At 40.1% G+C, this 12,554-nt stretch overlaps 1 annotated feature.

The window, feature by feature from the left end:
* Window positions 2,571-3,072: an enhancer, noted in NCBI's record as "H3K27ac hESC enhancer chr2:55950709-55951210 (GRCh37/hg19 assembly coordinates)". NCBI's record gives its function as "activates a minimal SCP1, AML or CMV promoter by ChIP-STARR-seq in naive H9 embryonic stem cells {active_cell/tissue: H9 hESC(naive)}" and the evidence as "EXISTENCE:reporter gene assay evidence [ECO:0000049][PMID:30033119]".

Consider the following 12,554-nt stretch of genomic DNA (forward strand, 5'->3'; position numbering starts at 1 on the left):
GATCTCGAGCAAGTGACTGAGCGTCATTTTCCTTAGTTACTCTGCTTCTCTCCCAAAGAATCTCACACATTAAATAAAAAAGTGCATGACAAAGCCCTTCTCAACTGCAAAGGTCCATAAAAATATGTAGAGAAGGTTGTTCAAAAGATATTTTGCTTTATAGATAAATGGAGCCACTTGCTAATTAAATTTGCACTGAGGCACTAACTTTGAAACTTAAAATTGATTGTTTCCAAGACAATCTCCCGTTTCAAAGCTTAATAATTAGAAATAATTGTGAGTCTAAATGTCTTTACTAGCCAAAATACATTAACTACTACTTTATTTCTTAAGGGCAGACATTGTAGAGTTTGTTTCCATTTTGTAAAGATTGCAATAAATAATTATGATATGTTGTGACAATAGAAACTTAGATTTATGTTTCTTTCAAATTTCATTGTGCTGAGGTAGTCAAGATATTTTTTGACAGACTAGCCAATGAATGTAAATTACATAGATTATTTTAAGAACAAACCTTAGTTTTAAATTTTTTCTTTTTTTAATAAAGTAAGCTTTTTACTGATGTATAGTGTACATACAAAAGAGTGCTTAAATCATCAGCATTTTGAGGGATGTTCACAAATGAAATAGGCCTAATGTAATCAACAGTAAGATAAAAAAATAGAACATGCCCAGTATTTAGAAGCCCCTCCCCCTATGCCTTTCCAGATATCACCCCAGGAAGAAAACCTTTATTCTGACTTCTGTCGTCAGAGACTCGTTTTTCTGGTTTTAAGCCTTTACAAATGAAGCCATACACTGTGTTGTAACCGTTTATGCTTGGCTTCTTTTACTCAAAGTTATTCATCCATTTTGTTGCCTGTAACAGTAGTGTGTTATTCTTTTTTCTTCTTTTTTACACTGCAGGAATATGTTTATTTTTGAGATCTATTGCGCATCATGATGAATATAGTTAATAATAGAACATTGTACATTTCAAAATTGCTAACAGTGTACATTGCAAATGATCTCACCCCAAGAAATGTTAAATATGTGGGGTGATGTATATGTTAGCTGGGTTGACTCAATTATTTCACAATGCATTCAAAGACCATAATAGCACTTGGTATCACATTACATATATAGAATTATAAATGGTCAACTTTAAAATTTTTCTTATTTATATTTATTTATTTATTAATAAAGACCGGATCTTGCTATGTTACCCAGGCTTGTCTTGAACTCCTGGGATCAAGTGATCCTCCAGTCTTGGCCTCCCAAAATGTTGGGATTACAAGCCTGGGCCACTGAACCCACCCAAACCCTAGTTTTTGAATATACTCTATACCTTATTCAACAAGAAAGGAATATGGTAAAATTTGGAATTTCCAAAATGGAGCTAATATCTTTGTGATATGATTAATATTCATATTTAAAGGTTGGATGAAAGAAAGTTTTCCACCAAGGTCTTGGATGCCAAGAATTAGAATAAGTAACCCCTATAACTAAGTTTTTTTGATTGATTCTGTAGTTTTCCATTGTATCTTAAATAATTTCCTTTCTGTTTTAGGTTATATGATGGTGCTTGAAATGTATATACATTGAGGACATAAAACATCTTGGAGAACAGATAAGAATTGAAAGTATGGTAGAAAGAAAGACCAGTCTCTTACTATCTGTGAAAATTTGTGAGTTCATGGATAAAATGAGGCAGTGTTTGCTGATTTTATCTTTTAATAACTCCAACACACTCTACTGAAAAAGAAACATTTTTCTTTTCTTTCTTTGTAACACCAATTAGTAAACACATAGCATTTTAGAAGAGGAAAATACTTTAAAAGTTCATTGTCCTTGTTTCATAGATAATATCTAACATTTACAAAGAAATTTACAATTGCTTCCAGATAACATGATTTCATAGAATCCTGAGAACTCTATTATTACCCTCAATTTAAAATGAGGAAGTGGAGACTCAGAGGACTTAAATGACTTACCTAAGGTCACAGAGATAAACATAATAATGATGGATAATATTAATTGAGCACTTACTCGATGCCAAGCCTTCCTCATGCATGATCACATTTAATCCGCAGAATATTCTTATTACCTCTTACATAATATGTGACAAGCTAGCATTATAAATCTGTGCTAAGAAACTGGCATAACTGACTTTTTTTCCTGGATGCTCTTCTATAGACACAACCTAAATATTAAATAAAATCAATATGATTTTATGTATTTAGGATAGTATCACATTGTGTATGTATGATGTTGATTGGTTAAGTAAATAGTATTATAGTATTCTCATTTTACAGATGAGATATTATGGACATGGAGAATTAAAGACTCCCATAGTAGTACTGTGCTAGCTGACACTGATGAGCAGAGGCAAGAATCCAGTTCTTTTCACCACACTAGCTTCCTTTTCTCTGAGATGTGTCTCAGAATGTGGAGTGGGCAATTGGTGACTTGGATCCAAAGCTAAGGACAAAGAGGCACCAAGAATCTCACATTCTGAGTATTGCAGGCCAAGTACCTCCTCCAGGTTTAGTAAGAGTCAGGCAAACTGACTGGGCATTCCCCTAATCATCGTCTGAGACTCAACCACTTCTTATGCCCAATCCATCTACACTTTTGACTAGACAGGGAAGACAGGCATGTGATGAGAGTGTCAAGTCTTTGGTGAAAAGTACAGTGGCTCCTGCTTTGAAGCCAAAGACTGGGTGCCCTGAGGACCATCTACAGAGAGTGGGATTAAATGAGAAGAATGACATCTTATTTCTTAGCTCACACCAGCTGATCTGACCTCAGTGCCTGTGAGAGTAAGGGAATGGAGAATTGAGATAATGAAGCAGAGAGAAGTGAGGCAGTGGAGCAGGCTGCACCCATCTGGTGCTATGACAGTGCTGTATGGGTATTCCAGGGGTCAAGAAGCCACCATGGAAGTAGCCGGACTTGATTTGACCTGCCAGTACTCTACTCAAAAGGAGTTGGGGGGAATGCCAGGGGAAGCAACTGAGGGTGTAGTAGAGGAGCTGGGTGGAGGGTGCTCCCACAGCAGGAAACTCTGCCCTGGGGAGACTCCTGCAAGTCCCCAATGTAGCCCATGGAAGAGCCAGTGTTGGGACACCCACCACACAGAGACTAATCGACATCACCAGCCAAGAGAAGACCACAGCTGCAGCACTGAATGAGACACTGTTCCTTTCTATCTCTGCATCTACTACAAGCCACCACCCCCAAAGCCCACAACTCAAGAGGGAATGAAGGTGGAGACTGTACTCCTTTTCCATTTCAGGTCCTGGCCACAAATGCCTGAGCTATCTACAGGAAGGGAGGATTGGACTTCTTCATTTCAAAGCTGTGAGAGAGCTGCGCAGAATGTTGTTAAGCGGTGAGAAAGGGAGGTTCAGTGGAGCATGGTTAAGGTAGTAATTGGGGGAAAAAAGGATACTTTATACTTGCACTCTACTGAATTCAGGTTGTGTAGAATAGACATTACATATGCCTCTCTCTCTGTATATAAATATAATAACCAATATTTATGTATAGCTTTGCATCCTTTTCAAATATGCAGAAAGTCTTATGGGATGATATTATCAGGAACCAAGTAGCATTTTAAAAATTATTGCATATCCAAGTGATGAAATTAAGGAAACATGGGCCAAAAAAAAAAGGTAACCTCCTCTTTTCTTCTGAGTTTTCCTTTTGCCCCAGCAGATGTGTTGGCATCTGACCTGCCGGGATGCTAAGACATCCTGACTGATAGACCATTAGATTCAATCAAACAGTCAGTATTCAATTAGTACCTTCCATGGCAAATACCATAGGAATGAAAGAGTATATAAAAAATGGTCCTGGCCAGGTACAGTGGCGCACACCTGTAATCCTAACACTTAGGGAGGCTGAGGCAGCTGGATCACTTGAGTCTAGGAATTCGAGACCAGCCTGCACAACAGGGTAAAACCCTGTCTGTACAAAATATACAAAAAATTAGCTGGGCTTGGTGGTATATACCTGTAGTCTTGGCTACTCAGGAGGCTGAGGTGGGAGGATTGCTTGAACCCAAGAGGTCGAGGCTGCAGTGAGCCATGATCATCCACTGCACTCCAGCCTGGATGATGGAGTATGATCCTATCTCTCTCTCTCTCTCTCACACACACACACACACACACACACACACACACACACACACAGTTCCCTGCTTTCAAGGTGGTGACACTCTAGATAAACGTACACTCATTAAAGATAGGGCAGCATATGACAAGTGCCACATGAATCAAAGTGACAGCAAAGGTAATGTATGGCTTTAGATTACCTAGAGACCCTCTTGCACTGGTTGCCTGACTGGAAAAGGTGAGGCTCTAATGGTGCCATGAAGGATGGGTGAGAATAAGAGTGCAAGGCTAAAGGGCTGCTACATGAGCAAATGAGCAGAGACCAGCGTAGCTGGGAAGTCACATTTGGGGACACTGAGTCCCCCTCAAAGAAATTCTGTAACAGCATCCTTTGCAAGTCCTGGAAAACCCAACTAAAACTGGCTTGTATTAGGGCATTTATTAGTTCATATAACTAAAGAGAACTAGAGGTAGAGTGTGCAGGAGTGTGTTAATTTGGGTTGTAGCTCTGTTTCTATGTGAGCCTCACTGCCCTCTCTACCTTCAGCCTGTTATTCTTGGTTGTTAGATGGCTCCCTGGGTGTATTGGTTATCTATTGCTGCATAACAAAAAACCCTCAAATTTAGCAGATTAAGCAGTAAACTTTTTTTTTTTGAGACAGAGTTTCACTCTGTCAACCAGGCTGGAGAGCAATGGTGACATCTTAGCTCACTGCAACCTCTGCTTTGTGGTTTCAAGTGATTCTCATGTCTCAGCCTCTCGAGTAGCTGGGATTACAGGCACGCACCACCACGTCCAGCTAATTTTTGTATTTTTAGTAGAGATGGGGTTTTACCATGTTGGCCAGACTGGTCTTGAACTCCTGACCTCAGGTAATCCACCCACCTCGGGCTCCCAGAGTGCTAGGATTACAGGCGTGAGCCACTGTGCCCGGCCAAGCAGTAAACTTTTATTTATTTATTTATTTATTTATTTATTTATTTATTTATTTATTTTTGAGACAGAGTCTCAGTCTGTCGCCCAGGTTGGAGTGCAGTGGCACCATCTCGGCTCACTACAACCTCCATCTCCTGGGTTCAAGCCATTCTCCTGCTTCAGCCTCCTGAGTAGCTAAGATCACAGGCGCCCACCACCACACCCAGCTAATTTTTGTATTTTAGTACAGACAGGGTTTCACCATGTTGATCAGGCTGGTCTCGAACTCCTGACCTCAAATGATCCTCCTGCCTTGGCCTCCCAAGGTGCTGGGATTACAGGCATGAGCCACCGCACCCGGCCAGTAAACTTTTTTTGTTGTTGTTACAGTGTCTCACTCTCTCACCCAGGCTGGAGTGCAGTGGTGTGAACAGGTTCACTGCAGCCTCTAACTCCTGGGCTCAAGTGATCATCCTGCCTCGGCCTCCCAAAGTGCTGGGATTAAGGGTGTGAGCCACCATGCCTGGCCACAGTAAGCATTATCAGGCCTGGCACGGTGGCTCACACCTGTAATTGCAGCACTTTGGGAGGCTGAGGTGGGTGGATCACTTGAGGTCAGGAGTTCAAGACCAGCCTGGGCAACACGGCAAAACCTCATCTCTACAAAAAAATGCAAAAATTAGCCAGGTGTGGTGCCACGTGCCTGAGGTCCCAGTTACTCAGGAGGCAAAGGTGGGAGGATCACCTGAGCCCAGGAGGTTGAGGTTGCAGTGAGCAGAGATTCTGCCACTGCACTCCAGTCTGGGTGACAGAGTGGCAGAGTGAGACCCTGTCTAAAACAACAACAACAACAACCAAATAAAACATTTATTCTCTGGAATAAATGTCAGGAACCTAGGTGCAGCTTAGTAGGTGGCTCTGTCTCAGGGTTTCTCGTGAGGCTGCAATCAAGATATCAATCAGGCTGACCATCTGAAACTTTATGGGGGCTGGAGGATCAGCTTCCAGGCTAACTCACCCTGTTGTAATGGAGACTTCAGTTCCTTGTTATATGGGCCTCTCTATACAGTCTCTCATGACATGGTAGCTAGCCTCTCTCAGAGCAAATGATGAGGGAGAGGGGTGTGTATTATAACACAATCTCAGAAGTGATATACCATCACTTCTTCCCTACTCTATTGATTATGCAGACCAGTCTTGCCAACCCTGATATATTGTGAGGCGGGATTATTCAAAGCTGCAAATATCAGGAGGCTGGAATCATTGGGGCCATCTTGGAGGCTGGCTACTACATCTGTCCTATAGGATTTCTTATTTATATCCAGAATAAAGTTGCTTCTTTTTAGCCATTGAACAAAAGTTCTCAGATTTTCTCTGATTGTGCCATCTTTAAACACAGGGGCTGGGAGAATAACAGCTACTATGTGGCTTAGGTCTAGGTTACTGAGCCAATGTCTGTTTCAAGGGGAATAGGATGATGATGACTGGCTTAGACAAATTAGGATACACCTAGAGCTAGAGCTGCGGTTGTTGCATGGTTCAAACAGCATGGTTGATTCGTAGAAAGGAGTGGATAATATGTTGGGAGGCAACTACAAAGTCCTCAGCATCCATCTATGTGAACATCGTCATGCTTCTCAGGATCCATCTATATTATCCTCCTCCTTACCCAAAGACTGTCACATGGTCACGTGTGTTACAACCCTTCTCTAATGAGGCAATCCAAAGTCTAATTCAAGTTCCAAGTCCAGGCTCTCTGGGTGTTGTTCTTTCTTCTCCATCAGGTCTGGATACAACTCTTCACAGTCTAATGATTTCAAGAGTCCACTTCTTTCTTTTTTTTTTTTTTTTTGAGATGGAGTCTCACTCTGTCACCCAGGCTGGAGTGCAGTGGTGCTATCTTGGCTCACTGCAACCTCCACCTCCTGGGTTCAAGCGATTCTTCTGCCTCAGCCTCCTGAGTAGCTGGGACTACAGGTGCGCAGCACCATGCTCGGCTAATTTTTGTATTTTTAGTAGAGATGGGGTTTCACCAAATTGATCAGCCTGGTCTCGAACTCCTGACCTTGTGATTCGCCCACCTCGGCCTCCCAAAGTGCTGGGATTACAAGCATGAGCCACTGCGCCCGGCCTCCACTTCTAACATAACTAATATGGAATTGTGAATAAAGAACTGGATAATTTCAATAAAACACTCATTAGGAAGAGTGGATGGACGACAATACACAGTTTCCCTGGTCCACAGCACATATTACATCCTGCTGGAAATGAATTTTAAGTTCTCCCTACCCTGGTTGTAAGAGAGAGTCTGGGTAGCAAGAGTAAAGTAGGGTCCCCATCATTAATTGCTGCCAGATTGTGGAGGGCCTTTTGGAATGGTAGCCTGTAGGCAATGGAGGAAGAAAGAAGATCATTCAAGGTTTTTGCATAGAGTAGTGACGTGATTTTGGTTAACTTAATTTTGGAGGCATTATCCAGTATAAATTAATAAATCCCCTTGAAATAATGCCCTGGGGACACAGAAATGTTAACTGATTCCACAGTAAAAGCCCATGTATAATCTAGGTTTGTCTCTTTCCAAATAGAAATTATAAGTTGTTTCCAGGAACCTACGTGGAACAAGCAGGGTGGTTCACATTGTGTCACTTCCTTGGTATTAATTCCAAACTAGAATGAAAAAGCTTTAAGCCTCTTTTGAAAAGATTTGTAATAGAAGTAGACTTGGTAGGTGGAGAGTGACTGGGACTAAGTTTAAATAGAAAAAATGAGAAAAAAATTACTAGAGAAAGCATTTTTGGATAGCTATAATCCTTCACTTACTTATGCATAGTGAAGGAAATAATAAAAAATTGTTTAAATTATTTTACTATTGTAAGTCCTGCATAAGTTAGCTAGCTACAAGGTTGTATGGGCTGCGAAACATTTGTACTTTAAACAGGATCGAGTTGTGGGATAGGTAAAGCTGTGAGCCATTGCACTACCTGCTATTGTGAGGGGCTTTTCGTAGTTTAGGATATGAGGAATAAAGCCTATGAGATTTCTTCTCAGATGGCCTGGAAGAAATCCAAAATAGAAAATGGTAGAAAAACAGAGTATTCCTATTTGAAATTTCAGATATTATGATTTAATTTGCATTTGACTTATTTCTGAAAAACACAGTAGAAACACCCCCATAATAAAGTTATGTTATTCCTCTAGTCTACAGACTTGAGTATGGGTGAGTGAAATGTATAAAAGAAAACATTTTTTGAGGTAGGAATAGATTCATCATTGAGTTCCTCTGCCAAATTCAGAATTAGATAGTGGAAAAATTCTATTTATTTTGAGTTTGTTAATCTGCCAGCAAACTGTTGGGAAAAATAAAGACAAGCCAGATGAGGACTTGGGTTATGGAATGAACCATAGATGACATATGAGTGAACTTTTTAAGAGAATATAGTTGTTCCTACTTTTATTTCCTGTTTGTAGTTTAGAGTGTTTAATAACTTTGATTTGCAGTGTGCATTTCTACTGTACTAAACTGTAGCAGCAAAATGGATAACACAGCATATTGCTGTGTTGAAATTAACCTTAAGTAAGGGTCAGGAAATTGAAAATATCACGTTTCCATAGTAACACTAATTTAGTCAGATCACACATGTTGTTTCTGAGCCATTAGTTTACTCTTATGATATTCTGGATGGGAACACAATATTTACTCTGGAATGTGGTTAAGTTCATGTTACAATGCAAAGCAATTTCATATTTTCTTTATGTCCATTTTAAATCCTTTATTATGGTTGGTTTGATATCTGATTCCTTGTGCTATTTGCAAAATGCAAAAATGTAACAGTTTTTTAAAAAGTTTCTGAAGATAATTAAATAGGAAATCATGAATATATCATATTTATATAACAATTATGGAAAAATTGTAAGAAAGAGGAACTGGATTTTGAAAGTTTGCGTCAGAATTTTTGGGTAATTGTTAGGTAATTTATTTGGTCTTCCAACTGGGTGGCTCTGACTTGATCTGATTTTAGTTTTCATGGTTGTCAAATTCCATATGATATCTAGTAGGGATTTTCCCCATCTTCTTTTGAATTCCAAATTCATGAATACTGCTATAGCTCTGTCTTTGGCTGACATTTCAGGCCCACTTTTCCATAAAGAAGCCTCTCACCCCACAACTTCATAGGAACTATTACCAAGATAATGACCTATAGAAAAGGGCAAATCTGCCTTCCAAGTGGGCCCTTTCTCAGTGCACACACCAAGCACATTCCTATGCCTGCCTGTACACATGAGTCTTGTGTGTGATTCAAATCTGCTTCTTAGTAAAATGACAAAATGCTGCATGTCATATCTTTGAGGCTATTCATGACTATCACATCGATTTTCAGCTGTGCATTTCTGGGATAAATCTCACTTGATCATAGTATATAATTCTTACTATATGTTGCTGGATTTGGTTTGCTAGTATTTTGTTGATGATTTTTATTTCTATTTCCATAAGCAATATTGGTCTGTAGTTTTCTTTTCCTTTTTCCTTTTTTTTTTTTTTTTTGAGATGAAGTGTCACTCTATCCCCCAGGCTGGAGTGCAGTGGCATGATCTTGGCTCACTGCAACCTCTGCATCCTGGGTTCAAGCAATTCTCCTGCCTCAGCCTCCTCAGTAGCTTGGATTAGAGGCACTTGTCCCCATGCCCAGGTAATTTTTGTATTTTTAGTAGAGATGGGGTTTCACCACATTGGCCAGGCTGGTTTCGAACTCTTGACCTCAAATGATCTGACTGCCTTGGTCTCCCAAAGTGCTAGGATTACAGGCGTGAGCCACTGCACCTTGCCAGGTCTATAGTTTTCTTGTAACATTCATGAACATTAGAGTGTACTGTATTACCCAAACTCTCATTCAGTTCACTTAAGAAAAACAAAAGCAATGAAGAAAATCACAATCATGCCTTTTGGTATTGTAAATATGAATACAATTTATTTGGTTGATTGGACAGTTTCTTTCTTTCTTTCTTTCTCTCTCTCTCTCTCTCTCTCTTTCTTCTTTCTTTCTTTCTGACACGGTCTTGCTCTGTCACCCAGGTGGGAGTGTAGTGGCATGATCATGGCTTGTTGCAGCCTCCACCTGTTGGGCTCAAGTGATCCTCCCGCCTCATTTTTTGATTTTTTGTAGAGACGAGGTCTCACTGTGTTGCCCAGGCTGGTCTTGAACTCCTGGGCTCAAGCGATCCTCCTGCTTTGGCCTCCCAAAGTGTTGGGATTATGGGTGTGAACCACTGCTCCTGGCCTGGACAGTTCACTTGCTTGCCAGTCTCAGTGCTAAGTAATATGGAGAGATTAAATTCAATACAAGACATTATTTATTGAATGCCTAATATGCTAGGCTTGTGCTTGGTACTGGGGGTATTGATGAGTATTGAAAGGTAGTAGTTACATAGTGGGTAAGAGTAGTTGGATTTGGGTCCTACCTTTACTACTTCCTAACTGATGGACCACAGACAAATTACTTAAACCTGTTTCCTCATCTGTGAAATGTGGCTACTAATAGCATGTAATATAGGATTGCTGTGAAGTTTAAATTAAGAATACAGGTAAACAGTGCCTGATACTTAGCTATCAGTAGATACAGTTTAGCTTTATTATTATTTGTTTTTCTTGTACCAGAACTTACATACATCATTTCATTTAATTCTCATAACAGCCCTGCTGAGGAGCTTAGTATTAGCTCCATTTTCATAGCTGAGAAACCTTTGCTTCTAGAGGCTAACCAACTTACCTGAGATCACAGATATGGCTACTGGTAGAAGCATAACTCACATCCAGAATATTCTTGACTGCCAAGCTAGTGTTAAAAAACATATAGTCTTTCCCTGGCTTAAAGGAGCACTCACCTAGATTTTCCAGGTAGCCCTGTCCAATTATTAGTTTAGATTCTTTAAGTTTCCAGAGAAGATGTTTTGGTGCCATATTCCAGTGACTTGTTCCCCTAAAGTCAGTTAAAAAAAAAAAGTCTAATACCAATGTCATCTATTGTATTAGAACTCTATTTCTTTTCTTTCTTTTTTTTTTTTTTTTTTTTTTTGAGATGGAGTTTCACTCTTGTTGCCCAGGCTGGAGTGCAATGGTGCGATCTCAGCCCACCGCAACCACCGCCTCCCAGGTTCAAGCAATTATCCTGCCTCAGCATCCCAAGTAGCTGGGATTACAGGCATGCACCACCACGCCCGGCTAATTTTGTATTTTTAGTAGAGACGGGATTTCCCCATGTTGGTCAGGCTGGTCTCGAACTCCCAAGCTCAGGTGATCCACCCACCTCGGCCTCCCAAAGTGCTGGGATTACAGGCGTGAGCCACCACACCTGGCCTAGAGCTCTATTTCTTCCTTAGTATACAGAAGAAATGTATCTGTCTATGTGGCAACCTAAAGTGAAGGTATTCTGGTAGTTTCTCTGACATTTACCTAGAGAATTCATTGTTAAATGCAGGAAAAGCACATACTATATAGAAAGCTTGGTTTTTCTGGATTTCTCTTCAAGGTTAGAAAGCTCAATTAAGGATCTTTTATTATCTTTCTAGACCCTCTCTCTGCCCTTGATTTTGATCCGTGTTTGACCAAGGATTTTTTTCCAGGGTCTCTGACTACCTGTTCATGGGTTTGGTTCCCACCTTGCTATACTTTCTAAGTGCTCCGTTTTCACATCACTTGAAGGGCCTCAGAGGTCCCCTCAAAATAAAGCCTTATAAGCAATATATACTTAGAACTGAAGTTTCTAGGAAAGATGGGTGAATACCTAAAAATGAGAAAACTTTCTGAAAGGAAAAAAATCTTTATTTTAAAGGAAAAAAAATTCCAGTGCATACCAAATATGACACAAAGCTGATACCCACCCAGTGGCCAGATATGTTTTCCTGAGGGATTTCCTTGTGTTTATTCCTCTAGCATTTTTTCATTCCTGACTTTTGGGGTGGCCCTTCTGTGAAGAGTTTCCTCATCCCAGCTGTTATGATGTTTAATCTAGAGTTGCCAACTTCTGATCCGGCGGTTCCAAGACACAGGGTGAGGAAAACAAAGCTTTCCAGTATTTCTGAATCTGAACCCCCACCCGCATTGGAATTACTGCTTTAATCTCTGGTCAATCCTGAATTGTTTTCAACCCTAGCTTTATCTCTCCTCTCCCCCGGAATAGCAGAAGAATTACTAATGGTAAAGATCTATGCCCATGTCCAGGGTTCAAATTACTTATGCTCCGCACAAACCTCAATTTATGTCTCTTTTCTTTTTCTTTCCCTCCCCTCCCTTCCACCCAAGTAAACTATGGTGTCTTTGGGTCTGTGTGTTTGAAATAATTTACTTTCAAGAGCTTTTTACTTTTTTAAGATAAAAATTAGATTATAGTTTTTTAAGCTAACTGGGGTTATTTTTTCTTAGGAAAAACAGAGTAATCATTAAACAGGCTAACCATCTGGTTTTGATCCTAATGTTAGTCCATGAGATGGCTTGACACTTTAAATAAGCAAAGTCATGGCTTTTCGTTTAGAAATATGCAAGGATG

This window comes from Homo sapiens, chromosome 2 (genome assembly GCF_000001405.40).
Source record: "Homo sapiens chromosome 2, GRCh38.p14 Primary Assembly".
Taxonomy (NCBI): domain Eukaryota; kingdom Metazoa; phylum Chordata; class Mammalia; order Primates; family Hominidae; genus Homo; species Homo sapiens.